We start from the raw sequence: 27,214 nt of genomic DNA, 5'->3' as shown, positions 1-27,214 counted from the left end.
TTTGTCTAAAAGCATTTTCTTATTACTTGGTGAAACTGTCAGTAGTCTCCTCACCTTTATTAGGTAAGATGTATGAGTAGAGGCCTTAAAATACTTCTTAAGACGTTATGCTGGGGATTTCTGATCTAGAAATTTCCTGGTATTTTTATTTATTTACCTAACAATTTAAGCAAAGTGATTAGAACTTAACCTCTATTTAACAATGTCTGGTCTTCCGCTATAGACTATAATCTTTTTGTTTGGTTGGTTTGGTTTCTGTTTTGTTTTATTTTTATTTATTTATTTGTTTTGAGATGGAGTCTCGCTCTGTCATCCAGGCTGGAGTGCAGTGTCATGATCTCAGCTCATTGCAACCTCCGCCTCCTGGGTTCAAGTGATTCTCATGCATCAGCCTCCCGAGTAGCTGGGATTACAGGCGCATGCCACCCCGCCTGGCTTATATTTGTATTTTTAGTAGAGAAAGGTTTTGCCATGTTGGCCAGGCTGGTCTCAAATTCCTGACCTCAAGTGATCCACCTGACTTGGCCTCCCAAAGTGCTGGGATTACAGGCGTGGGCCAGCACACTGGCCGTGTTTTATTTTGTTTTAGAAATGGTGTTTTGCTATGCTGCCCAGGATGGAGTGCAATGGCTATTCACAGGAACAGTCATAGCACACTGCAGCCTCAAACTCCTGGCCTCAAGAGACCCTTCTGCCTCCACCTCCCAAGTAGCCAGGACCACAGGTGCATGACATTGCATCTGGCTGTTTTTTGTTTTGTTTTGTTTTGGACTGTAATTTTAACCTGATATGAATAAATTAGTCATGTATTTAAATTACTCTAGCGACGCAAGTGATTTAATTTGTTATCAATAAGGATTTGTAGACTATATGAAATTATGGCTAGATGAAAGATAAATTACATAAATGAATGGTCTTCCTTCTGCTCTCTTTTTTCCTCCAGTCTGTCCAAATTTTATCAGTTCTTCCAAATCTTCTTTGAATGCTACTCTGTGTAGGTATATTCTTGCTGTGCGCAAATCATTTGAATTTTTGGTATTCAGGCCATTTTTCCTACTATATTATAAGCTGTCAGAAGGCTGGGTCTATATCTTATTTCTTTTTATATCTTCCATAACACACTGCTTTGCACAAAGTTGATATTTAAGCATCAGTGTATTAATGAATAATGTAATTTATGACAAACATTAATAACCACCTCAGCTTTTCACTAGTATTACTAAAACTTTATTAACTGAGTGAATATGCAATCTCTCTTTTCCATCACAGGCTTCTGTCTCTAAACAAGGGCAAATTTTAGGGAGACCTCCTTTCTATCCCATTTATTTCTCCGCCCACCCCTTTTTTTAGTTCCATTTCTCTATTGCAGCTCTATTTATCTTTTCACTATGACTCATCTTTTTTTCTCAATCCTGCCCCTTCTGTATCTGTCTGCTTTTTATTACTCCTGCCTCTTGCTCCTTTTAATTCCTAATGCCACTTACCACTTTGTTTCCCTGTTACCTGGTCTTTCTGTTTTTGTTCTTTCTGCTTGGCTTTCTCCTCCGCTTGTCACTACCTCTCTCCTTGCCCTCAAGGTACAGAGCAGGATTCAGTATAGGAGGAGCCCAGCTGGGATAGGGGTGGAGCCACCTGTTCACTGCTTCAGGATTCAGAACCTGACTAGGAAGGATCGGCTGCTCAAGGGTAGCTGGGACTGAAGTCCCTATGACCTTTCCACTAGACGCTAGCATTCTGGAGGACAGTTGGGACTTGGTAAGGTCAGAAGCTCTCCCTGTCTTCCTTTGTATTTTCCCTTTCTTCTTTCCTGTTCTGCATTTTTCACTCACAATCTCTTTTCATACTACTAACTTTTCTTCAGTTTCTCTGTTTTACTAGTCTATCTTTCCTCTTTCTACCTATCAGTGAACTCTAGTATTTGTCTCTTCTGTTACCTATTCTTTCCACACATCTCTGTATTCTCTCTCAACATTTAACTTTTTCTACCCACTCTACATTTTGTTCTTCCTTTTATTAGTTTTCTCTCCCAGGTTTCTTTTTTCTTAAACTCCTGGCCTCAAGTGATCGTCTTACCTCAGCCTCTCAAAGTGTCGGGATTACAGGTATGAGCCTCAGTGCCTGGCTAGTTTCCCTTTTTCATTTAGTCATTTTTCAATCCACATCTCTATTTTTTAAAAAATCATACTATTTCCCAGTGAAATAGAAATAAGAGAGGAAAAAAGGAGCACCTTGTCTTTCCAGGGGCCTGTTCAGCCTTTTAACTCATTCTCAGGCTTATAGTATGTTTTGAGATTAGGCTTTGAAGAAAAATTCATGCTGTACAGATAGTTAATAATGAACTTAGGTTGAATATTCAATGTAAAAGGTTTAATTTTATTCCGTTTTCCTTGTTTTGCTTAGGTTCTTCCTGCAATACAGTGGATACAATTTGTCATGGCTACTCTGAGGTATGTTTATTTAATCTCATATAACTAAACTAGTATAAGCAAAGTTCGTCAATTCTGTAGTTTTCCACATTTCCCCCTTGGGGATTTGCTTTTACTCTTTAGTTAAAGAGAAATGATATTCTTTATCATCTTGATATTTTCTTACTAATAAAGTGACAACATTAACAACAATAACAACAAAAAATTGATTAAAGGATAACATCTGAACATCAGTGGACAACCTGGTCAGCAGGATCAGTTGCAAAATCAATAGCAAAGTGCTTACTTAAGCAGCACCTATACTAAAAATTGGAATGACAAAGAGAAAATTGGCAGGGCTGAGCTCATACCTGTAATCCCAACACTTTGGGAGGCTGAGGTGGGCAGATCGCTTGAGCTCAGGAGTTTGAGACCATCCTGGGCAACATGGTGAAACCCTGTCCCTACAAAAAAGCAAAATAAAACAAAACAAAACAAACAAAAAAACCCCATAAAAATAGCTGGACATGGTGGTATGTGTCTGTAGTTCCAGCTACTCAGGAGGAGCTGTGATTGTGCCACTGCATTCCAGCCTGGTTGACAGAGCAAGACCCTATCTCAAAAAAAATTAAAAAAAAAAAAGATTGGCATGGCCTCTGGATAAGGAGAATGTGCAAATTTGTGAAGCATTCTATATTTGTTTAAAAATATTGGCTGGATATGGTGGCCCATGCCTGTAATCCCAGCATTTTGGGAGGCCAAGGCAGGAGGATGGCCTGAGCCCAGGAGTTTGAGACCAGCCTGGGCAACATAGCGAGACCCTGTCTCTACAAAAAATTTTAAAACATTAGCTGGGCATGGTAGCAGATGCCCGTAGTTCCAGCTACTCAGGAGGCTAAGGTGGGAGGATCACTTTAGCCCAGGAGTTGGAGGCTGCAGTGAGCTATGATTGTACGACTGTACTCTAGCCTGGGTGACAGAAGGAGACCCTGCCTCTAAAAAAAAAAAAATATGTGCAGGGCTGGGCATGGTGGCTCACACCTGTAATCTCAGTGCTTGAAAGGCCAAAGTGGGAAGATCACATGAGGCCAGGAGTTTGAGACTAGCCTGGGCAACATAGCAAGACCCTATCACTACAAAAAATAAAATAATTAGCCAGTTGTGGTGATTCACACCTATAGTCCTAGCTACTCAGGAGGCTGAGACAGGAGGATCACCAGGGCCCAGGAGTTCAAGGTTACGTTGAGCTATAATGACACCACTGCACTCCAGCCTGGCTGACATAGCAAGACCCTGTGTCTAAAAATTTTTTTAATGCAGTTTATTTTATATCAATTATGCCAATAAAACTGTAAAAAAAACCCAAAATTAATAACAAAAACGATGGCACTCCATTGTCCTGCTTTAATGATCAATCATCTTCTAAATTTCTCAGTGTTATAGGTTCAAGTTCACTTATTGCCTATGCTGTATTCCATAATATACAGAAATCTCCAGAGGTGAGTGATTTCTCTTTGTGTTGGATTTGAACTTTTTATTGACCTAGTCTCTGAAACAAATAACAGATGTTACCTGTAAGTGGTGAAATAATTCTATGAATTACTTTTAAATTTGTCATGATGATACAATGAGATATTTTTGGCATGGTCAGTAGGGCTCCCTTTTCTTCTAGGTAATTATTTTAGCTATAACTTTGAATTCTGAGAGATTAACTATTTTTTTTTTTTTTTTGAGACGGAGTCTTGCTCTGTCACCCAGGCTGGAGTGCAGTGGTGCGATCTCGGCTCACTGCAAGCTCCACCTCCCGAGTTCACGCCATTCTCCTGCCTCAGCCTCCCGAGTAGCTGGGACTACAGGCACCCGCCACCACGTCCGGCTAATTTTTTGTATTTTTGGTAGAGACAGGGTTTCACCGTGTTAGCCAGGATGGTCTCGATCTCCTGATCTCATGATCCGCCTGCCTTGGCCTCCCAAAGTGCTGGGATTACAGGCGTGAGCCACCGCGCCCAGCCCTGAGATTAACTATTAAATGTGGATTTCTTTGGTATGCATTAATTGCTAAGGCTAAGGAAACAGAATGTTGTCTGAATCCAATATTCACTCTAAGCATAGCAGGAGCTTGCCTAGAGGTGAGTTCTCTGATTTTGATACTTTAGTAAAATTGCTACTGGGACTAGGAGATAGTTTAAAAACTTTGCTATATGAAACATACTTATTTTGCTTCTCTGGCCTTCTAGGCAATTGCAATTTTATGGTGAAAACAGAGTAAAAATACATTTAAACTATTCATACCAAAAAGATCAAATTAAAAACCTTCCTGATTAACAGAGTACTAGGGAGAGTGATGTATTTTCTAGCTTAGTAAACAGATCTTAAGAGAAATATAACAACTATTCTTTAACCAGACCAAATAGCACAAAATTAGACAAAGCATAGGTCAGGACATGTATGGGAGAGCTTTTATATGTGGAAAATGCCATTGGGTTTTATTGGGCCCACTTTAATAATAAAAATAACTTCTGTATGTTGAACACTTACTATTTTCCAACTATGCTGAGTGCTTTACATACTTTATCTCATTGGTCCTCATCAATCTATAAGAGGGATAGTATTAGGCCCATTTCACAAAAGAGGAAATTGTGGTTCAAAGTCAGGAAATAATTTGTTCAAGTTACACAGTAAATAGAAGAGCAGGGGTTTTTTGCTTTTTTCTTTTTTTCTTTTTTTTTTTTTTGAGATGGAGTCTCACTGTGTCGCCGAGGCTGGAGTGCAGTGGCACGATCTTGGCTCACTACAATGTCTGCCGCCCAGGTTCAAGTGATTCTCCTGCCTCAGCCTCCCAAGTAGCTGGGATTACAGGTAACTGCCACCGCATCCAGCTAATTTTTTTTTTTTTTTTTTTTTTGAGACAGAGTTTCGCTCTTGTTGCCCAGGCTGGAGTGTGATGGTGCAATCTCGGCTCACTGCAACCTTTGCCTCCTGGGTTCAAGCAATTCTCCTGCCTCAGCCAGGGTTTCACCATCTTGGCCTGGTTGATCTTGAACTCCTGATCTCCTGATCCACCTGCCTGGACCTCCCAAAGTGCTGGGATTATAGGTGTGAGCCACCATGCCTGGCCAAGAGCAAGGATTTTTAAAAGTCAATACTCTTAATTATAATTGCTCTCCAAACTAAACAAAATTTTTAGTATTTATTCTAGATAGATTTGCTCAGTGCTTTCAGTGTATTTTTCATTTAATCCTTAAAAAACTTTGAGATGGATATTATTAGTCTGATATTGCAGACAAGGAAACTGAATCCTGGTAAGGTTAGGGGACTTTCCTAAGTTCTTACAGCTAGTAAGTGTTGGAGCTGGAATTTGAATGCAGCCTTGTCTTGTTCCAGAGCCTCTCCACCATACACTTTTAAACCACCAAAATATAATGTCCAATGAAAATGGATTTTGAAGTTTCAGTGGTAGATTGTGACTGTGTAAGTCAAACTGGAAAGTAAAAGTCTTGCTACTGTATTGTCATTGCCTGCCAAAGTAATTTTAAGTCAAACATCTTGTGATTCAGATTTTCCTAATGTTTATTTCCTTTGCTGGAATTTGAGTTCAGATGTGATTAAGTTAATAAAGTATGACTTACACACAGAGAGAGCTAAGCTTTATCTCTGAAAGCAGGGTTTCTCAACCTCAGCTTTATTGAGATTTGGGGCTAGATAATTATTTGTAGTCCTGTACATTAGGACGTTTGGCAGCCTTTACCAGCTGGATACTAGTAGTAAACCCTCTGTTCTTTAGTTGTGACAACCAAAAATTTCTTCAAACAATGCCAAATGGTCCAGGTGTAGTGGCAGGTGCCTATAGTTCTAGCTACCCAGGAGGCTGAGGTGGGGATTGCTTGAGCACAGGAGTTCAAGGCTGCAGTGAGCTATGATCATATCACTGCACTCCAGCCTGGGTGACAGAACAGGACCCCATCTCTTAAAAATAAAAAAATTGCTGAATGTCCCTGTGAGGGTGGGATTGGGGCAAAATTGTTCTTGTTTGAAAACTACTGTCCAAGGTGACTTTCTGGCATAACAGTGGGTTGGGACTTTATAAAGATATAAGGTGTTAAGGTCTAATTTGGCTTAGGACGTGACTCTTTTTTCTTACTATTTATAATTAAAACAAAATAGAGATGCTCTTGAGTAGGGAGAGCTCTTGGTTATTCTGCCCGTGGTTTAAATTAAAGACAGATAGAGAGGAAAGCACCAGCCGTGGTGGCGCCAAGTCCCTTGTGGCAGCAGAGAGGAATCAGTTGGACCTCACGGGAGCTTGGATGGTCATGGCCTTTACCTTGTACTGACTGCTGCAGGCAGCCCTGCTCTGTGTCAGTGCCATCGCCATGCTGCACAAAGAGAAATTCCTCAAGAACATTGGCTGGAGAATAGACCAGAGAATTGGTGGATTCGGGGAGGAGCCAGGAATTAAATCTCAGCTAATGAACCGTATTCAATCTGTAACAACTGTGATGAGAATGCCATTGATAATAGTAAACTCAATTGCAATTGTGTTACTTTTATTATTTGGATGAATATCAGGAGAGGAAATGGAGACTCAGAAGAGATGCTAGCAGAAGTTATTATTTAGGTCATTATTGGAATAAAGGCTGAGATGGGAGGATCACTTGAGCCTGGGAGGCTCAGGAAGTAAGTAAGTAAGACTGCAGTAAGCCAAGATCGGGCCACTGCACTCCAGCCTGTGTGACAAAGTGAGACCCTATTTCAAAAAAAAAAAAAAGAAAAAAAAATCAGATCATGAGAGGCAGTAACTCTCCAGGACTGGAATATTTGCTTACTGTTAATAGTAGCTCGCTCTGTGCTGAGATTGTTAAAAGAGTGCATAAGACTGTTGTTTCTGTTTTTAAAGTTATTTTTCTATCTCTCATTTCTGAGGGATGAATTTTTTTAAAAAGTTTTGAAGTTCTTTGGGACTTAGCCATGATGTGAATGCTTATCTCTAGATAAAATTTAAAGGATTTTAAAAAAGTAATTGCTACACATAAAATGATAAATAGGTAATTTGAGTGATTTTATTTTGAACTCCTTGGTTAATTATTTTGTTTGTATATTGTTTCATCTATGAATAATTCAAATTTATAGACACTATTGAGGAGTAATACTCTCTGATATATCAAGGAGAATTGTGTTAGTCACATGATGATTTTGTTTTACTTTTTTAATGCATTTATTATTTTATTAATTGGACTAAATGATGAGACCAGACCAGTGTCTACATATTTTCATTGTTAGAAAAATCTACAAAAGTCTACCCTTTCTACAGTGATGACTTTAAACAAAAAAAAGCAGCATAAATATTAGCCTGCAAGAGCAGTCCTAAACAGTCACAATTAAACTATACTACACAAGAAGACTGTTGTGAAGCATTTACCTCCCCCAAAATCTTTACAGTTCCATTTCTTGGTGAAGTGGCACACTGTGGGTTGTGATTCTTAATTCTTCATTGTGTTTGTCAATAGGACATTCATGCTGGATAGGTTGTCTTTTATTTATTTTTTTATGTCTCAAATCATCTTGTGGGATTGTTTGCTCATCTCATAGTACAGTTTTAAACAGAAAGTTTGAAACAATGTAAATGGTTTTTGTGAAAATTATTAGTTACTATATACATGTGTATATATATGTATATATAATTTATTTTATTTTTTTTTTGAGATGGAGTCTCGCTCTGTAGCCCAAGCTGGAGTGCAGTGGTGCAGTCTCAGCTCACTGCAACCTCTGTCACCAGGGTCTCGGTTCAAGCAATTCTGGCTCAGCCTCCCGAGTAGCTGGGATTACAGGCATGCGCCAGCATGCCCAGCTAATTTTTGTATTTTTAGTAGAAATGGGGTTTCACCATGTTGGTCAAGCTGGTGTTGAACTCCTGACCTCGTGATCCACCCGCCTTGGCCTCCCAAAGTGCTGGGATTACAGGCGTGAGTCACCGCGCCCGGCCAAGTTACAATATTTTTAAAGAGCTAGAATGGCCTCTTTGTAAATAGAAGAACATTTGTAAATAAAGTTGAATTTCTAAGTAAAAAAAAAGGACAAATACAAATGTATATATATGTGGGTTTTTTTTTAAGAGTTTTTGCTTTCATGTTTAGGATCATATCTTATGCTTTTTTGGGTTTTCTTTATTACCAGGCACTAGGCTGGTTGTATTTTTCTTAAGAGCATGACCTATATTATACATTTCTTTGTATTTCCTTCAAAATAATGCCTTGTTATACATAGGAGGGGTAGAATTTTTCTTGATTTCAATAATAGGTACTCAGTTAATTTTTGTTGTATAATTGATTGAACTTTATCTCCTGTTATTAGAATTGAGTGCAAGCAAACCTCACCTCGTTTTGTCCTCCTTTGCCCTGCCAAAGACTTCTGATATGTTTTAACATCTCCCTATACATAGGGTCCTTTCCTTTCCTTTCCCCCTTTCCCCCTTTGCCTTTCCTGAGAGTCTCGCTTTGTCATTCAGGCTGGAGTGCAGTGGTGTGATCTCAGCTCACTGCAACCTCCATCTCCTGGATTCAAGTGATTCTTCTGCCTCAGCCTCCCAAGTAGCTGGGACTACAGGCATATGCCACCATGCCTGGCTAATTTTTTTGTATTTTTAGTAGAGACAGGGTTTCACCATATTGGTCAGGCTGGTCTCAAACTCCTGACCTCAGGTGATCTGCTCGCCTCGGCCTCCCAAAGTGCTGGGGATTACAGGCATGAGCCACTGCGCCCAGCCTCATAGGGCTATTTCTTGAATTAATGATCAGAATGTTATTGCTCACAAAAGCTGCATGGCTGCTTTTCTTCTCCAGGGATTATTTATGTGAAAGTTGATTATACATATTGGATCATTCTTGTCATACCCAACTAAATTGGAGTCGAGAAGCCAAGGGGAACAAGCTCTCAGAGCACATAGCACCTGCTCCAATAATTAATATTTTCACAAGCCCAGCTACTAAAATAGTCCAATGTAACCCTGAGACCAGTTTGATCTTGTAGTTGCCAAAATGACTTGCCCTGTCTCTTAGGACTAGTTTTACATACCACGGTCACTCACTAATCAGAGTTTGCCGACTCCCAAAACTTTCTTTGGTGCCAGTGAGCTTGCTTTCAAAACAACATGTACTATTTCCCTTCTAATAAAACTCCCAGTCATCTCTTTGTTCTTCAGACATGTCCAAGACCACGCAGTCTGTGTGTATGCCCTGAAATGCAATTCTTGCTTCCCAAATAAAACATTTTAAATTTAGAGATTTTTCTTTATATATTTCTTGACTTCACCATTTCACATTTTTAAATCTCTTAACAGTTATAAACTTATGATAGGTCATAAGCCAGTAGAATCTATGACTGTGCCATCCAACTGGAATTTTAGCAAGCTTACCCAGAGAAAAGGCCATATGTGGTTAACATAATAGCTGATATTTATTAAATACTTTATACTTTTAAATGTTTTATTACATATTATTTCACTTTTTTATGTTTCTGTTAGCCAAGGCAACTTGACCATCTAACCCTATTAACAAGATATTAATTAGCATCTTACCTCTTTTTCTGGTTTGGGAGAAATATATGAGAAAAATCCTCTTGTATAGGTGGGCTTGGGAGAAAGAGATGAGAAAAATTCTGTTTTGTACATGTGGGGAGATTAGTTCTCATATTAGGTAATATCTGTTCTGTTTGTTTTTTTTGTTTGTTTGTTTTTGTTTTTTTTTAGATAACAGGATTTTGCTGTGCCACTCAGGCCATAGTACAGGATCATAGCCTACTGTAGCCTCAAACTGCTAGGCCCAAGCAATCCTGCCACCTCAGCTTCCTGAATAGCTGGGACTACAGGTGCACGCCACTATAGCCAGCTATTTTTTTTAATTTTTAATTTTGTAGAGACAGGGGTCTTGTTATGTTGCCAAGGCTGGCCTGGAACTCCTGGCTTCATTCAGTCTTCCCGCCTCAGCCTCACAAAGTGCTGGCATTACAGGCTTGAGCCACAGTGCTTGGCCAGGACTTTAAAATTTGTAAATGTATTTTTTTATTGTGAGATATACCAGACATGAACTAGAATGCATGAAACATGTATGTACTATTTAAAGAATGATTATAAACAAACACTAGTGACAAGAAATGGAACATTACCTGTACTTCCAGACATATACCTATTGAGGTTCTTCCCAATCACAGCTCTCCCTCTCACCTCTAGAGATAATCAGTATCCAGATTTTTGTGATAAGCATTTTTTTACTCTTATGTACGGTTTACCAGAAATGTATGTATGTTTAAACAATTTGGTTTTGCTTGTTTTTGAACTTGATATAATTGGAATAATGCTATATGTATTTTTGTACGTATTGTTTTATGAATTGCTTTTATCCCTCAATATTATTTGTGAGATGTATCCACGTTGTATAGAGCATGAGTTCATTTCATTTTCATTGATGTCTGGTATTCTGTAGTATGAATATACTAAAATTTATTTACCTGCTTATGCTGCTATAAGCATTCTTGTACATGTTTTCTTGTACATAAGCATTATTGTATAAGCATTCTTGTACATTATGCTGCTATAAGCATTCTTGTACATGTTTTCTGGTGCGCAAATGCATAAGCTTATCTAGTATATTTGCCCAATATCAGAATTGTCATAGGATTTCCACTGCCCCTAAATTAATGTCAAACTCTTTTCCAACTGGTTGTGCCAGCAGTGTATAAAGTGTCCTGTTGCTTTTTGTTCCCGTTAATACTTGCTGTTATCAGACTTAAAATTTTTGCCATGGGTGTGTAATTATTTTCTTATTGTGGTTTTAATTTTTCATTTCCTTTATTACTAATAAAGTAGGGCATATTTGCATATGTTTATGGCCATTTGGATTTCCTCTTTTGTTAAATATTTTTGCCTGTTTTTCTGTTGAGTTTTTCTTACTACTTAGTAATTTTTTTAAAACACAGTTTGGATCCTTTGTCAGTTATATGTGTTACAAATATCTTCTATTTTGTGGTATGTCTTTTTACTTTCTTTATGGTGTCTTGACACAGACTCAATTTTTCATTTTAATGTGGTTGATTTTTTTCATTATTTCTTTTAGTACTTTTTGTGTTTTGTTTAGGAAAATTTTCCCTAAACAAAAATTGAAGACATTCTCCTATAGAATGTAAAAAAAAGGTTTACAGTTTTTGTCCTTTCACATTTAGGTCTTTAAACTACTTGGAATAGATTTTTTTTTTTTTTTTTTTTTTTGAGACAGGGTCTTGTTCTGTTTCCCTGGCTGAAGTGCAGTGATGCAATCATGGCTCACTGCAGCCTTGACCTCCTGGGCTCAAGTGATCCTCCTGCCTCAGACTCCCAAGTAGCTGAGACCACAAGTGTGTGTCACCATGCCCAGCTAATTTTTTTATTTTTTATTTTATTTGTAGAGATGGAGTCTCACCATGTTTCCCAGTCTGGTCTTGAACTCCTGGGCTCAAGCAGTCCTCCTGCCTCGGCCTCCCAAAATGTTAGGATTATAGTCATATAGTCACTGAGCCTGACCTAGAACTGATTAGATGGAGTCTCACTCTGTCGCTCAGGCTGGAGTGCAGTGGCATGATCTCGGCTCACTGCAACCTCCGCCTCCTGGGTTCAAATGATTCTCCTGCCTCAGCCTCCTGAGTAGCTGGAATTACAGGCGCCCGCCACCATGCCCAGCTAATTTTTGTATTTTTAGTAGAGATGGGGTTTCACTATGTTGGCCAGGCTGGTTTTGAGCTCCTGACCTCAGGTGATCTGCCCACCTCCCAAAGTGCAGAGATTACAGACGTGAGCCACCATGCCCGTCCTAGAACTGATTTTTTGAGTGTAGTGTGAGATACAAAGTAGGGGCCTAATTTCATTTTTTTTTCCTGTATGGATACCCAATTGTTCTAGCTTCATATTTTGAAAAGACTGTCTCTTTTCCACTGATTGAAAAAGCCACTTATGTCATACATCAGAGATCTATATATATATTGCTGGGTTTAATTTGGGCTATTTTCATTTTATTCACCTATTTGTCCATCCCTGTACTAGTACCACAGTATCTTCACTCTAGGTCTATGTTAGTTTTTGTAGGGAGACCTCCTGAAACTATTGCTATGGAATAAAAGATGAAATGCTCCTGATTATTGTAAATACAAAATTGCATGCAGGATTTTGTAAAGACAATGCAAGGTTTGGCTGCCAGAATGAGCCAACAGTGCGTGATGTGCTTCTCCCTGCAGAGAGCCTATAAACGGACGTGCAGTCAGGGAGGTTTCACATCACCAAGATTACTATCCCAGAAAAGCAGATGTTCATAGCTCTGGGAATGCAATGCAACCCTTGTGGAGAGCCTATAAATAGACACATGAGGGGCGCTTGTTCATATGGATAAGATAGGGTTATAAACGCCCTTATCTTGCCACGGCTTTTCTGGGTCTCTTTAGGGTTAAGGCATACTCCCTTCTGAGAATTTGTGGTCTAACCGGTTGTTTCACATCCTGTTTCTGTTGATTGTTTGCAACCAGCTTTTGCTGCAAATATTACTGCTGATTAGTATCTTACTAAACATAGGTTATGGATAGACTGTGTTTCTGTTTTAAGGCTCTGTTAGAAATTGCTGACACACACACTATGTTGTAAATTCTTATCTCTGTATACTGTACTTATGCATACCGATGTTACATTAAAGAATTACTTCATCCCCATGTGATCATCTCACCTCATAATCAAATGACCCCCTAAATCCCTCACTAACCTACCCCCGCCCTCACTAAACTTAATAATAAATGCCAGTATATCCAGTGCATTGGCGGCATCACAGGACCAGAAGGCGGTGACGCCCTGGACCCAGCTTTCACTATTTTGTGTGTGTCTTTTATTTCTCGACCTGCCGATCCACCTGGGAACAAAGAAAGAGCCCCGTTGCATTGCGGGCTGCTGGCCAGATCCCACGATAAGTCTTAAGATGAGGTGGGGCAAGTTCTTCTTTTTTTTTCAAGAGTGTCTTGGTTATCTTAATATTTTATATTTCTTTCTTTTTTTCCTGAAGAGTTGGGTTTATTTCAATAGTAAATTTGAAACTCTTGACTTAAGTGAAAGTACTCTAGTAATTATATCAGGAATAGACAATTTCCTACACTGTCAAATATATGAAAGTTCCTTTTGTACGTTCTTCAACACTGATCAACAAGCAGTTTCAGTCCACATTTGCTTTGATCTGTCACTGAGTTAACCCAAGCTGCTTCTTCAGAGATTCTGGCATCTTGGGGGAGGGCAAGGGAGGCTGAAGTAGACCTTCACAGAATCATAGATAAACTACTGTAGTGCAGTCAGAGTACCAGTCATAATGATACAGACAAACATTCCCTTCCATACACCTTTAAATCCAAGTCTCTGGAGGACTTGAGAAGCACTGCTACCTTTTTCTTTATTCAACACAGATACCACAGAATCATCAGGGTGAGAAACAATTGCACAAAACACTCCAGGTATGTAACCTGCTACAAATGTTACAACCAGCTCCTCTGTCTTTGAACATTCACCACAGGGCTTCCGAACCACAAACTTGTACAATGCTTCAACAGTACCTTAAAAGCAGGCAAACTTCATCATGGCATATGCTATCTGTCTCATCCAGAGAGGAGCAACCCCTTTGTAGAATGTTTTTAGGCCTTCTTCCTTATACATCTTGGGAGCTGCATCCCTCAAAGTCTTGGTCTAACCTGGTTGGGTTTGAATTTGAACCTTAGCAGCTTCCATAGGGCAATTACAGCAAAGAATTCAGCACTGGCAGAGGCAGCCAAATACAGTGATGTGCACCAGAGATAACATGCTCTGGGAGTATGTTGCTATACAAGACTTTAAAGACTTCATAAAAGCCAAACTTGCAGAACACCTGCATGGAGTGGCCAATGAAAGTCAGAGCCTGTCCTTTAGCCAAAGAATGAACACCATCCTCCTTAAGTGTAACTGAGAATCCATTAAATATGCCCTTCTACTTTTGGGGGTCCACCTGCATACAGCATTTCACTAAACCCAGGGGAATGACCGCAGTGTGTGTCAGACCACAACCTAAGACCCCACGAGAGCCACACAATGCATAATACTTCGTGGAGTCAAATTCACAACTGTACTTTTATAAGGCAGCAGCTGCCAGGTTAAGAGAGCAGTGGGGGGGCCTTGCGGGTCTTGTGGGACCGCTGTGGAGGTCCGTGAGGCCATCGTCCACCAGCTGCAGGTGTGGCACATTGAAGGAGTTCACCCATGCCAGGTGTGCCATGGATGAGAGCTTCTCCCTAAGATGGCAAACACCCCACTGTTACTCCCTTGGATTGTGGCTCACAGGGTGATATTTTGTACTTCCACATCAGATTCAGAGTCAGCTTGTCAAGTTCCACAGGAAAATAGGTTGAGATTTCATTGAGATTGCATTTAATCTTTAGGAGTCCCTCAATAAATGGTTTATAATTTTCTCCATAGGACCAAAACTATTTTTAGATAAGTGGGAATGGGGATGCCAAAAGGAGAAGAATAAGAAGAGACAAATTTCACCAGTGTGGTCAGAAACCGAAAGGCAACACATACAGTTCATTCTGACATTTTTCAGTATTACTGACTTTTTACCCTGACTTTTTATTACTGTAAACGTTTTCATTTTCTTTAAGTCCTCAGCCACATCCCTAAACACTTAGCAGAATACCTCATTTCTTATATTTAGAAGATGTTTGGCTCATGCCTGTGATCCCAGCACTTTGGGAGGCCGAGGAGGGTGGATCACAAGGTCAGGAGATCGAGACCGTCCTGGCTAACACGGTGAAACCCCATCTCTACTAAAAATACAAAAAATTAGCCAGGCGTGGTGCTGGGCGCCTGTAGTCCCAGCTACTTGAGAGGCTGAGGCAGGAGAATGGTGTGAACCCAGGAGGCAGAGCTTGCAATGAGCCGAGATCGTGCCACTGCACTCTAGCCTGGGCGACAGAGCGAAACTCTGTCTCCAAAAAAAAAAAAAAAAAGTAGAAGATGTTGCCTGTGCCACTAAAGCACTCTCAATTGTCTCCTTGTGGTACATCTCCACCACAAAATTTCTCATCTTTCCACTCTTTTTTTAACCCTATACCTAAGAAAGGAGTGTCCCTGTGAGTAAGAAGGTTCAGTACTAATCTATCCATGAGTACTCTGATTCCAGAACAGTTGGGATAACTGTGGTTATAGTGGTTATAGATTCCTTCCTATCTGTAGTCTTCCCTTGCATTGCCCACAATCAACCAATGGCAGAGGCCCCAGAAAAATGATGTCAGTTTCCTACTAGAAACATAAAATGTAAGAACTGTTACATTGTTAACATTCTCCTAGCTACATCACATATGAAATGAGGATTTTATTACTTTGACAGATAAGACCACTTTTTTATCTGAGCTTCTGTGACCTGCTCCTGGGACTTTGCTGGCTCACGGAGACACTTCTCTATGGAGCTTCAGTAGCAAATAAGGACATCATCTGCTATAACCTACAAGCAGTTGGACAGGTGAGTGCTACAAGACTGTCACTGCACCTTGCAAGAAAGGCACACTCAGATCTAGATAGAAACAAAGATGATTCACCTTGGGAAGTGGAGACGTATTTGTTTATTGTTACATTTTGAAACAATAGCTTTTATCTTTTTTCATATTAAAAACACTATATTATAGAATATTTTGAAAATTCAGAGAAGCAAAAAAATAATGTTATCTTTACTCTTTAATTTTTTTTTTTTTTTTTCTGAGACAGAGACTTGGTCTGTCACCAGGCTGGAGTACAGTGGTGCGATCTCGGCTCACTGCAAGCTCTGCCTCCCAGGTTCATGCCATTCTCCTGCCTCAGCCTCCCGAGTAGCTGGGACTACAGGCGCCCACCACCGCGCCCGACTAATTTTTTTTGTATTTTTAGTAGAGACGGGGTTTCACCGTGTTAGCCAGGATGGCCTCGATCTCCTGACCTCATGATCCACCCGCCTCGGCCTCTCAAAGTGCTAGGATTACAGGCATGAGCCACCGCACCCAGCCGTTTTTTTTTTTTTTTTTTTTTTGAGACAGAGTCTCGCTCTGTCGCCAGACTGGAGTGCAGTGGCGCGATCTTGGCTCACTGCAACCTCCGCCTCCTAGGTTCAAGCAATTCTCTTGCCTCAGCCTCCTGAGTAGCTGGGACTACAGGCGCGTGCCACCAGGCCCAGCTAATTTTTGTACTTTTAGTAGAGATGGGGTTTCACCATGTTGGCCAGGATGGTCTCGATCTCTTGACCTCATGATCTGCCAGTCTCAGCCTCCCAAAGTGCTGGGATTACAGGTGTGAGCCACCGTGCCCAGCCAATGAATACTTTTTATAACCTGTTTTTATTATTTATCATATTGTGACCGTATTTCCAGGTAATTAAATACTTTTCTATAACATCATTTGAAATGATTGGATGGTTTTGTGTTACAGGAGTAAAATAAACACTGGATTTTGAAAATACTACAGATAATCATATATGGATTGTATATCTTTTATGAATTTTACCAATGGATTAATCCACATAGTGCCATCAGTATGTAATACTGCTTCTATATTTCTGAGACACGCAGTGTGAAAAAAGTAAAGGTTTAAATGCAGCCTATGCTCACTGCTAGATATTTCCTTTGGAATTTGTTACTAGAGGGGAAATTTCTGTCAATTTAGTAAGAAATTAATAATATGTAATTGGTGGTATAAAATCTGTGCACTAATGTTACCGATCTCATATGAGTTTAAAATGTTTTAGAGTCATACTTTGCTCAGTCCTGCTAATAACCTCATGAATTAAATAGAATTAAGGCTGTATTGTTTATTCAGGTAATTATAGTCTTTGATCAGAAAAGTCTGTATTAGAATCCTGGACCTGATTAACTTTGTAATGTTTCGCCAGTACCTAATCTTTCTGAACTTCAATCTCCTAATCTGTAAAATGTTCATTAATAATATTTACTTTGTGCTTGGTACAGATGTGGTTAATGTTACCTTTTTTTTTTTTTTTGAGGCGGAGTCTCGCTCTGTCGCTGATGCTGGAGTGCAGTGGCATGATCTTGGCTCACTGCAAGCTCCACCTCCCGGGTTCACACCATTCTCCTGCCTCAGCCTCTCAAGTAGCTGGGACTACAGGCGCCTGCCACCACGCCTGGCTAATTTTTTGTATTTTTAGTAGAGACGGGGTTTCACCATGTTAACCAGGATGGTCTCGATCTCCTGACCTCGTGATCTGCCCGTCTTGGCCTCCCAAAGTGCTGGGATTACAGGCGTGAACCACTGCACCCGGCCTGTTACTTTATTTTTTTACAACTTTATTGAGCTGTATCTATAGTAAACTATACATATTTATGGTGTACAGCTTGATCAGTTTTTACATATGTATTCCCCTGTGAAATCATCACTACAATCAAGATAACAAGCATTCCTGTTTCCATCACCCTCCAAATCATTTCAGATACGTTTTCCTTTACCTCTTTGAGCTATGTAGTATAATAGCTGCTTTTAAAAATCTTTGTTGGATATTTCCAATGTCTGGCTCATTTCTAGGCTGGTGTCTGTTGATTATCTTTTCCCATGAGAGTGGGTCACATTTTCCTGTTCTTTGTATGTCAGGTAATTTAGGATTGCAACTTAAATGTCATGAATACTATGTTGCATAGACTCTGGGTCCTTTTGTAACTCTCTAGAGATTGTTAATATTTTATCTAGCAGGCAACCTGATTAGGTTTAGAATGTAAATTTGGTCTCATCATCTGTGGACAATGGTTCAAATCTCAATTTAGTTCTATAAGCCTTGGCTACGCTGGTTTGAGACTGTCATGCACACGCATAGTAGACAGGTTAGGCTGAGACTTGTTTGGATTAATACACAGAATTAAAGCGTCCCTTTTCCTGGCTGCCTTTCTTCTAGAATTCCCTCCATACTTTCCTGCCTAAAGGGGGCCCTTTTCTGATCTCTGTTGCCTAAAATAGATTTCTATTAGAGTAGGTGCCTTCATTGAGCAGCATCATGACTGAGGTACATGCTTGAGCAAAACTAAGAGAAAAGAGAGGAAAAAGTTTGGGAAACTCACTTCTTCTGTTTGGTTTACTTCTCCAAGTTTGACTTCTTTCCACAATCTACCAGTTTTTGTTTACTTTTCAGAGTCTTCAAGTGGTTGTTTTTTATATTTTTCCTAGGATTCTTGTAATCAGGGATGAGCTGGAGAGGGCTTAAAAACACTAGTTTGTTTTTTGTTTTTGTTTTTGTTTTTGTTTTGTTTTTGTTTTTGAGACAGAGTCTCACACTATTGCCCAGGCTGGAGTGCAATGGCATAATCTTGGCTCACTGCAACCTCCACCTCCCAGGTTCAAGTGATTCTCCTGCCTCAGCCTCCCGAGTAGCTGGGATTACAGGCGCCCGCCACCACACCTGGCTTATTTTTTGTATTTTTTAGTAGAGACGGGGTTTCACTATGTTGGCCAGGCTGGTCTTGAACTCCTGACCCTGTGATCCACCCACCTCGGCCTCCCAAAGTGCTGGGATTTCAGGCGTGAGCCACCGCGCCCGGCCTGTTCGTTTTTTGAGATGGAGTCTCACTCTGTCACCAGGCTGGAGTGCAGTGGCACAGTCTCGGCTCACTGCAACCTCTGCCTCCCAGGTTCAAGCGATTCCCCTGCCTCAGCCTCCTGAGTAGCTGGGACTACAGGCATGCGCCACTATGCCCGGCTAATTTTTTTTTTTTTGTATTTTACTGGAGATGGGGTTTCACCATGTTAGCCAGGATAGTCTCAATCTCCTGACCTCGTGATCCACCCGCCTCACCCTCCCAAAGTGCTGGGATTTCAGGTGTGAGCCACCGTGCCCGGCCTTGTTTGTTTTGTTTTTTAAGATTGTGGTAAACTATACATAACGTAAAATTTACTATTAAAAAATTTTTAAGTATGATAAAAATGTAACATAAAATTTACAATCTTACTTCTTTTAAGTATACACTTCAGTGATATTAAACATTCACCTTGTTATACAACTATAACCACAGTCCATCTCCAGAACTTTTTCATCATCTCAAGCTGTGTACCATTAAACAATAACTGCCCATTTCTCCCTAGTACCAGCTCCTGGTAACCACTGTTCTACTTTCTGTCTCTATGAATTCAACTACTCTAGGTACCTCGTATCAGTGGAATCATATAATATTTGTCCTTTTGTGTCCGGCTTATTTCACTTAGCATGTCTTTAAGGTTTATCTTGTTGTAGCATGTGTCAGAATTTCCTTCGTTTTTAAGGCTGAGTAATATTCCATTGTATTGTATGGATAGACCACATTTGGTTTATCCATTTGTCTGTCAATGGCCACTTGGGTTGCTTCCACCTTTTAGATGTTGTGAATAACGCTACTATTAACATTGATGTACAAATACGTTTGATCCCCTACTTTCAGTTCTTTTGTACATATACTCAGGAGTAGAATTACTGGATCAGATGGAAATTCTGTGTTTGATTTTTTGAGGAAACACCATGTTTTCCATAACAGCAGTGCACAGTGCACAGTGCCCTGGTTTCCACATTCATGCCAACATTTGTTGCTGTTTTTTTGTTTTTTAAGTAATAGCCATCCTAATGGGTATAAAGTGGTATCTCATTGTGCTTTTGATTTGCATTTCTCTAATCATTAGTAATGTTGGGCAGCTTTTCATGTGCTTATTGGCCATTTATATATCTTCTGAAGAAATGTCTCTTCAAGTCCTTTCCCCCTTTTTTTTTTTTTTTGAGGGGGGACAAAGTCTCACTTTCTCACCCAGGCTGGAGTGCAGTGGCGCTATCTCGGCTCACTGCAACCTCCACCTCCCGGGTTCTAGTGATTCTCCTGCCTCAGACTCCTGAGTAGTTGGGATTACAGGTGTGCGCCACCATACCTGGCTAATTTTTGTAGTTTTAGTAGAGATGAGGTTTCACCATGTTGGCCAGGCTGGTCTTGAACTCCTGACTTCAAGCAATCCGCCTGCCTCAGCCTACCAAAGTGCTGGGATTACAGGTGTGAGCCGCCATGCCCAGCCCCTTCCCCATTTTTTAATCAGATTGCTTGCTTTTTTGTTACTGAGCTGTAAGAGTTCTTTATATTTAACCGCCTGTCAGACATACAATGTGCAAATATTGTCTCCCATTCTGTAGGCTGCCTTTTTATTCTGTTAATTGTGTCCTTTGATGCACATAAGTTTTATAAATTTTGTTACAATTCATTTTTTCTTTTGTTGCTTGTGTTTTTGATGTCTTACCCAAGAAATCATTTTCAAATCCAACATTATGAAGCTTTTACGCTATATTTTCTTTTAAGAGTTTTATAGTTTTAGTCTTACATTTAAGTCTTTGATCTATTTGTAGATTTTCATATGTGGTGTAAAGTAAGGGTCCAACTTCATTCTTGTGCTTGTGGATGTTCAGTTTTCCTGGTACCATTTATTTATTTATTTGAGACAGAGTCTTGCTCTGTTACCCAGGCTGGAGTGCAGTGATATGATCATGGCTCACTGTAGCCTCGACCTTCTGGGCTCAATTAATCCTCCCACCTCAGCCTCCCAAGTAGTTGGGACTACAGGTGCATGCCACCACACCTGGATAATTTTTGTATTTTTGGTAGAGATGGGGTCTCCTATGTTGCTCACACTAGTCTTGAACTCCTGGGCTCAAGCAGTCCTCCCGCCTTAGACTTCCATAGTGCTGGGATTACAGGCGTGAGCCACCATGCCTGGCCCCATTTGTTGAAAAGAATGTCCTTTCCCCATTAAATGATCTTGGCACCCTTGTAAAAATCATTTGATTATATATGTAGGATTTATTTCTGGGCTTTTAATTCTGATCCATTCGGTCTATATGAAACTGGAAAGTGTGAGTCTTCCAACTTTTTATTCTTTTTTCTTTTTGAGACAGGGTCTTGCTCTGTCGCCCAGTCTGAAGTGCAGTGGCATGATCGTGGCTCACTGCAGCCTCAACCTTCTGGGCTTAAGTAATACTCCTGTCTCAGCCTTCTGAGTAGCTAGGACCACAGGTGCACATCACCACAGCTGGCTAATTTTTAAATTTTTTTTTGTAGAGAGAGGATCTTGCCGTGTTGCTCAGGCTGGTCTCAAACCTCTGGGCTCAAGTGATCCTCCTACCTCAACCTCCCAAAGTGCTGGGAATACAGGCGTGAGCCATCATGCCTTACCTCTTCTTTTTCAAGATTGTTTTAGCTATTCAGGGTCCCTTGAGATTCCATATGAATTTTAGTATGGTATATTTTATTTCTGCAAAAAAAAAAAGTTGTTGGGATTTTGATAGGGATTGCATTGAATCTGTAGGTCACTTAGGGTAGTATTGAACATCTTAACAACAGTAATTGTTTCAGCCAGGTGTGGTGGCTCATGCCTACAATCCCAGCGCTTTGGGAAGCTGAGGCAGGCAGATCGCATGAGCCCAGGAGTTTGAGACCAGCCTGGGCAACATGGCGAGACCTCGTCTCTACAAAAAATACAAAAATTAGCTGGGTGTGGTGGTGTGCGCCTATAATTCCAGCTACTCTGGAGGCTCTGGAGGCTGGGATGGGAGAATTGCTTGAGCCCAGGAGGTTGAGGCTGCCGTGGGCCATGATTCCGCCATGACACCAGCCTGGGTGACAGAGCGAGACCTTGTCTCAAAAAAACAAAAAACTATAATAGTAAGTCTTCCAATCCATGAACATGGGTATCTTTCCATTTATTGGTGTCTTCTCTAATTTCTTTTAGCAATGTTTTATACTTTTTAGTATACAAGTCTTTTCCGTCCTTGGTTAAGTTTATTCCTAAGTATTTTATTGTGTTTAATGATATTGTAAATGGAATTATTTTCATAATTTCTTTTTTGGATTGTTCATTGTTAATACATAGAAGTGCAGCTGATTTTTGCATGTTGATTTTGTATCTGGCTACTTGGCTGAATTCTATTATTTGTTTGAACAGTTGCGTGTGTGTGTGTGTGTGTGTGTGTAATCTTTAGAGTTTTCTACATATAAGATCGTGTTATCTGCAAACAAAAATGATTTTATATCTTCCTTTTCGATTTCATTATCTTTTATTTCTTCTTGCTTAATTGCTCTAGCTAGGACTTCCAAAACTATGTTGAATAGAAGTGGTAAAAGCAGGCATCCTCACCTTGTTCTGAACTTAGAAGAAAAGCTTTGTCTTTCATCATTGAGTATGATGACTTTGTCTTTCATCATTGAGTATGATGACTTTGTCTTTCATCATTGAGTATGAGTAAAAGATTCTGGGCTTTTCATATATGGACTTTATTATGTTTTTTTATTTTGTTTTTGCTTTTTCGTTTATGAAATGATTTAATATTGGTAAATGTATAATAAAATGGGAATTGTTATATACCTTTGGTGGAGGAAGACTATAAATTGGTAACATTTAAAATTTTTTTTTTAATTTTGTGGGTACATAGTAGGTATATATATTTATGGGGGTACATGAAATGTTTTGATACAGGCATGCAATGTAAAATAATCACATCATGGAGAATGGGATTATCCATCCCTTCAACCGTTTTTCCTTTGTGCTATAAGCAATACAGTTATACTGTTTTAATTCTTTTAAAATGTACAATTAAGTTATTGTTCACTATAGTCACCCTTTTTCCTTTGTGTTATAAGCAATAGTTATACTGTTTTAGTTCTTTTAAAATGTACAATTAAGTTATTGTTGACTATAGTCACCTTGTGCTATCAAATAGTAGGTCTTATTTATTCTTTTTAACTATATATATTTTTTGTACCCATTACTATATATATTTTTTGTACCCATTGACCATCTCCACCTCCTTCCTACTTTTCCACTACCCCTCCCAGCTTCTGGTACCATCCTCCTACTCTTTATGTCCATGAGTTCAATTGTTTTGATTTTTAGATTCCACAAATAACTGCAAATATACGATGGTTGCCTTTCTGTGCCTGGCTTCTTTCACTTAATATAATGATCTCCAGTTCCATCTATGTTGTTGCAAATGACAGATCTCATTTTTTTTATGGCTGAATAGTACTCCAGTGTGTATATGTACTGGCCTTTATTTTGCTGAGATAGTTTTCTTCTGTTCCTAGTTTGGGAGTTTTTTTGGGTGGGCTTTTTTTTAATCATGAAAAGGTATTGAATTTTGTCAAATGCTTTTCTGCATTAATTGAAATAGTCATATAGACGATAGTTTTTTCCTTAATTCTATTAATGTGATATATTAATTGATTTTTGTATGTTGAACCATCGTTGCATTCCAGGAACAGCTCCTATTTCATCATGGTGTATAATCATTTTAATGTGCGGTTGAATTTTGTTTGCTACTATTTTGTTGAGGATTTTTGCAACAGTATTCATCAGGGATATTGGTCTGTTCTTTTCTTGTAGTGTCATTGTCTGGCTTTGGTATCAGGGTTTTGCTGGCCTCATAGAATGAGTTGGGAAGCATTGCATCCTATTCGACTTTTTGGAATAACTTGACAGGTTTTGGTGGTAGTTATTCTCTAAGTGTTTGATAGAATTTACCAGTAAAGCCATTTGGTTCTAGGCTTTGTGTTTGGGGAAATTTTTTGATTACTGATTAAATCTCCTTACTAGTTATAGGTCTGTTCCAATTTTCTATTTCTAAACTATTATTATTATTACTATTATTATTGTTTGAGACAGGGTCTTGCTCTGTCTCCCAGGCTGGAGTGCAGTGGTTCAGTCACAGCTCATTGCAGCTTCAACATCCTGGGCTCAAGCAATCCTCCCACCTCAGACCCCCGCGTAGTGCATGCCACCATGCCCAGCTAATTTTTTTGTGTTTTTTTTTTAGATAGAGTCTTGCTCTGTTGCCCAGGCTGGAGTGCAGTGGCATGATCTCAGCTCACTGCAACCTCCGCCTCCGCCTCCCAGGCTCAAGCGATTCTCCTGCCTCAGCCTCCCAAGTGGCTGGGATTACAGGCATACGCCACCATGCCCAGCTAATTTTTGTATTTTTAGTAGAGATGGGGTTTCACCATATTGGTCAGGCTGGTCTCAGACTCCTGACCCCAGGTGATCTGCCTGCCTTAGCCTCTCAGTGCTGGGATTACAGGCATGAGCCACCGTGCCTGGCCCCAGCTAATTTTTTTTTTTAGAGAGATAGACAAGGTCTCGCTATGTTGCCCAGGCTAGTCTTGAACTCCTGTGCTCAAGTGGTCTTCCCACCTCAGCCTCCCAAAGTGTAATCCCAAAGTGGGATTACAGGCATGAGTCACTGTGCCCAGCCTAAACTATTATTTTTAAAGACTGTATTCTTTGCCTAATGTAGTCACTGAAGTATCTTTCCATTACCTTAGTGGTGAGCTTGTGATTGGCCAGAAATTTCCTTAGATTCCTCATACAAAAACAAACAAAGAAAAACCTTTCATGGTCTTTGCAGATTGGTTCTGTATTGGAGCATTGTTTCAGTGCTTAGCTATGTCATTTACACCTCTTTCTTAGCCTTTGCTTCCTACTTGCATGAAGCCTGAATGTCCATAGGAGTTGCAAATGTAGATTTTTTTCTGAGTATGTGTCCTGCTCTGGACATGCATGTGGCCTTCTAGATTCCCCAGTATCTGCATGTACTTTCCTGATTGATTGATTGATTGATTGATTTTCTATATTGACAAATAAAAATTGTATGCATTGGCCAGGCACGGTGGCTCATACCTGTAATCCCAGCACTTTGGGAGGCCAACGAGGGCAGATTGCCTGAGCTCAGGAGTCCGCAACCAGCCTGGACAACACGGTAAAACCCCATCTCTACTAAAATACAAAAAATTAGCTGGGCGTAGTGGCATGCGCCTGTAGTTTCAGCTACTCAGGAGGCTGAGGCAGGAGAATTGCTTGAACCTGGGAGGCAGAGGTTTCAGTGAGCCGAGATCACACCACTGCACTCCAGTCTGGGCAACAGAGCAAGACTCGGTCTCAAAAAAAAAAAAAAGGTATGCATTTATGATGTAAAACATAATGTTTTAATATATGTATATATTTTGGAATGGCTAAATCATGCTAGTCAACATATCCATTACCTCACATACTTAACATTTTTTTGTGGTGAGAACATCTAAAATCTACTCTGTTGGCAATTTTCAAGTATATAATATTATTAACTGTAGTCACCATGTTGTACAATAGATGTCCTGAACTTTTTTCTCCTATCTAACTGAAATTTTATATACTTTGACCAATGTATCCCCAGTATGCTTCCTCCCCACCTCCTAGTTCTTGGTAATCACCATTCTACTATCTACTTTTATGAATTCAACTTTTTATAATTTCACACATAAGTGAAATTATGCAGTATTTGTCTTTCTGTGCCTGGCTTATTTCAGTTAGGATAATATACTCCAAGTTTATCCTGTTGTTACAAATGACAAGATTTTCTTCCTTTTAAAGGCTGAATAGTATTCCATTATGTATATATAACATATTTTCTTTATCCATTCATCTATTGATGGACACTTAGGTTGATTGCATATCTTGGCTATTATGAATACTGAATACAGGATTTCTTTCAGAGTTCTTATTTCCCCATGTATTTCCTTCCCCAGCCTCTTTCCCAGGCTTTTGGTTCTCTCTGCTGTTTGACCTTTCTGTTGTCCCTTGCCCCAGAAGGCTGTGGCTAATGTATTTGCCTCTAAGTACTTTTGACATATGCTGTCTTTGAGGCCACTCCTGCTCTGAGAAAATTCCAAGTGGATGAAATAAAAGCAAGCCCCTATGTTGATCCTGCAGGGAAGGACCAGACACACCAAAACACGTAGCTGCAATTATTTGAGAATAAGGTCCATATTGATCCCTGTGGCACTAACAACCTGCAACAGGAATGCAGACTGCTGTCCCCAAAGTTGTCATCGAATTAGGGAGTTGGGGGTGGTAAGGCAGGTAAATTAAAATGCCATAACACTCTCTTACCAAAATTTACCATGCCTTCCTTCACTAAGCATTCCCCTGGGTTTTGTAAATTTTTGATTAGATTCTAGAGCTCAAAAAAAGTTGGTTTTGACTGGTTTTTATCCAGCTTAATTGTTGCGTTAGTGGAAGGATAGATTTTTGGAGTTCTGTACTCCATCACTTTCTGTGATGTTACTCTATTTGTTTATTTTTTAAACAGCTTAATTGAGGTATAATGGCAAACATTTAAAGTATACAATTTGATAAGTTTCTTTTTTTTTTTTTTTGAGACAGTGTCTCGCTCTGTTACCCAGCAGTGGCACAACGACTGCTCACTGCAGCCTCAACCTGCTGGGCTCAAGTGATCCTACCACTGCAGCCTCCAGAGTAGCTGGAACTACAGGCACACACTACCACGCCCAGTTAATTTTTGTATTTTTTGTGGAGAGGAGGTTTCACCATGTTGCCCAGGCTGGTCTCGAACCCCTGAGCTCATGCAATCTGCCCACCTCAGCCTTCCAAAGTGCTGAGATTACAGGCATGAGCCACTGCGCCAGGCTGATATATTTTTTATCTCTATGTAAATATCGTGCTAGTTTTAAAAATAGACTTTATTTTTAGAACAGTTTTAGATTTACAGAAAAATCGGGCAAATACTACAGAGTTCCCTGGTACCTACCATACCCTCCCCTAGTTCCCAAAGTTTCCCCTATAATCATTTTGCCTTAGTGTGGTACATTTATTACAATTAATGAACCCATATTGGTACATTATTATTCACTAAAGTCAGTAGTTTACTCTAAGTTTCAGTCTTTGTGTTGTGCAGTTCCGTGGCTTTTGATAAATTCATACTGTCATGTGT

At 39.8% G+C, this 27,214-nt stretch overlaps 1 protein-coding gene and 2 pseudogenes across 5 annotated transcripts in view, besides 1 other annotated feature; 2 read left to right on the top strand and 1 right to left on the bottom strand.

The window, feature by feature from the left end:
* TMEM116 (transmembrane protein 116) overlaps positions 1 to 27,214 on the top strand; it is an 81,938-nt gene that overhangs the window by 5,516 nt on the left and 49,208 nt on the right. For 3 of the 5 annotated variants that reach the window (NM_001193453.2, NM_001193531.2, NM_001294314.2), the window contains exons 2-4: positions 2,401 to 2,447; positions 3,841 to 3,904; positions 15,815 to 15,946. In NM_001193453.2, coding sequence (NP_001180382.1) covers positions 2,434 to 2,447; positions 3,841 to 3,904; positions 15,815 to 15,946 — 210 coding nt within the window. In that variant the 5' untranslated portion in view covers positions 2,401 to 2,433. The remainder of the gene's footprint in view (positions 1 to 2,400; positions 2,448 to 3,840; positions 3,905 to 15,814; positions 15,947 to 27,214) is intronic. The other 2 variants (NR_122119.1, NM_138341.3) reach the window with 1 other exon arrangement.
* On the top strand, positions 6,636 to 8,471 carry LOC724085 (immediate early response 3 interacting protein 1 pseudogene; annotated as a pseudogene).
* SLC25A3P2 (solute carrier family 25 member 3 pseudogene 2) lies at positions 13,464 to 14,766 on the bottom strand (annotated as a pseudogene).
* Positions 15,445 to 15,739: a silencer, noted in NCBI's record as "tiled region #5697; HepG2 Repressive non-DNase unmatched - State 23:Low". NCBI's record gives its function as "represses a minimal TATA promoter and a strong SV40 promoter by Sharpr-MPRA in HepG2 cells {active_cell/tissue: HepG2}" and the evidence as "EXISTENCE:reporter gene assay evidence [ECO:0000049][PMID:27701403]".

The sequence above is a fragment of the Homo sapiens genome, chromosome 12 (assembly GCF_000001405.40).
Source record: "Homo sapiens chromosome 12, GRCh38.p14 Primary Assembly".
Classification (NCBI taxonomy): Eukaryota; Metazoa; Chordata; class Mammalia; order Primates; family Hominidae; genus Homo; species Homo sapiens.
Note: the sequence above shows the minus strand (reverse complement) of the source record. Positions and strands in the feature narration are given on the sequence as shown.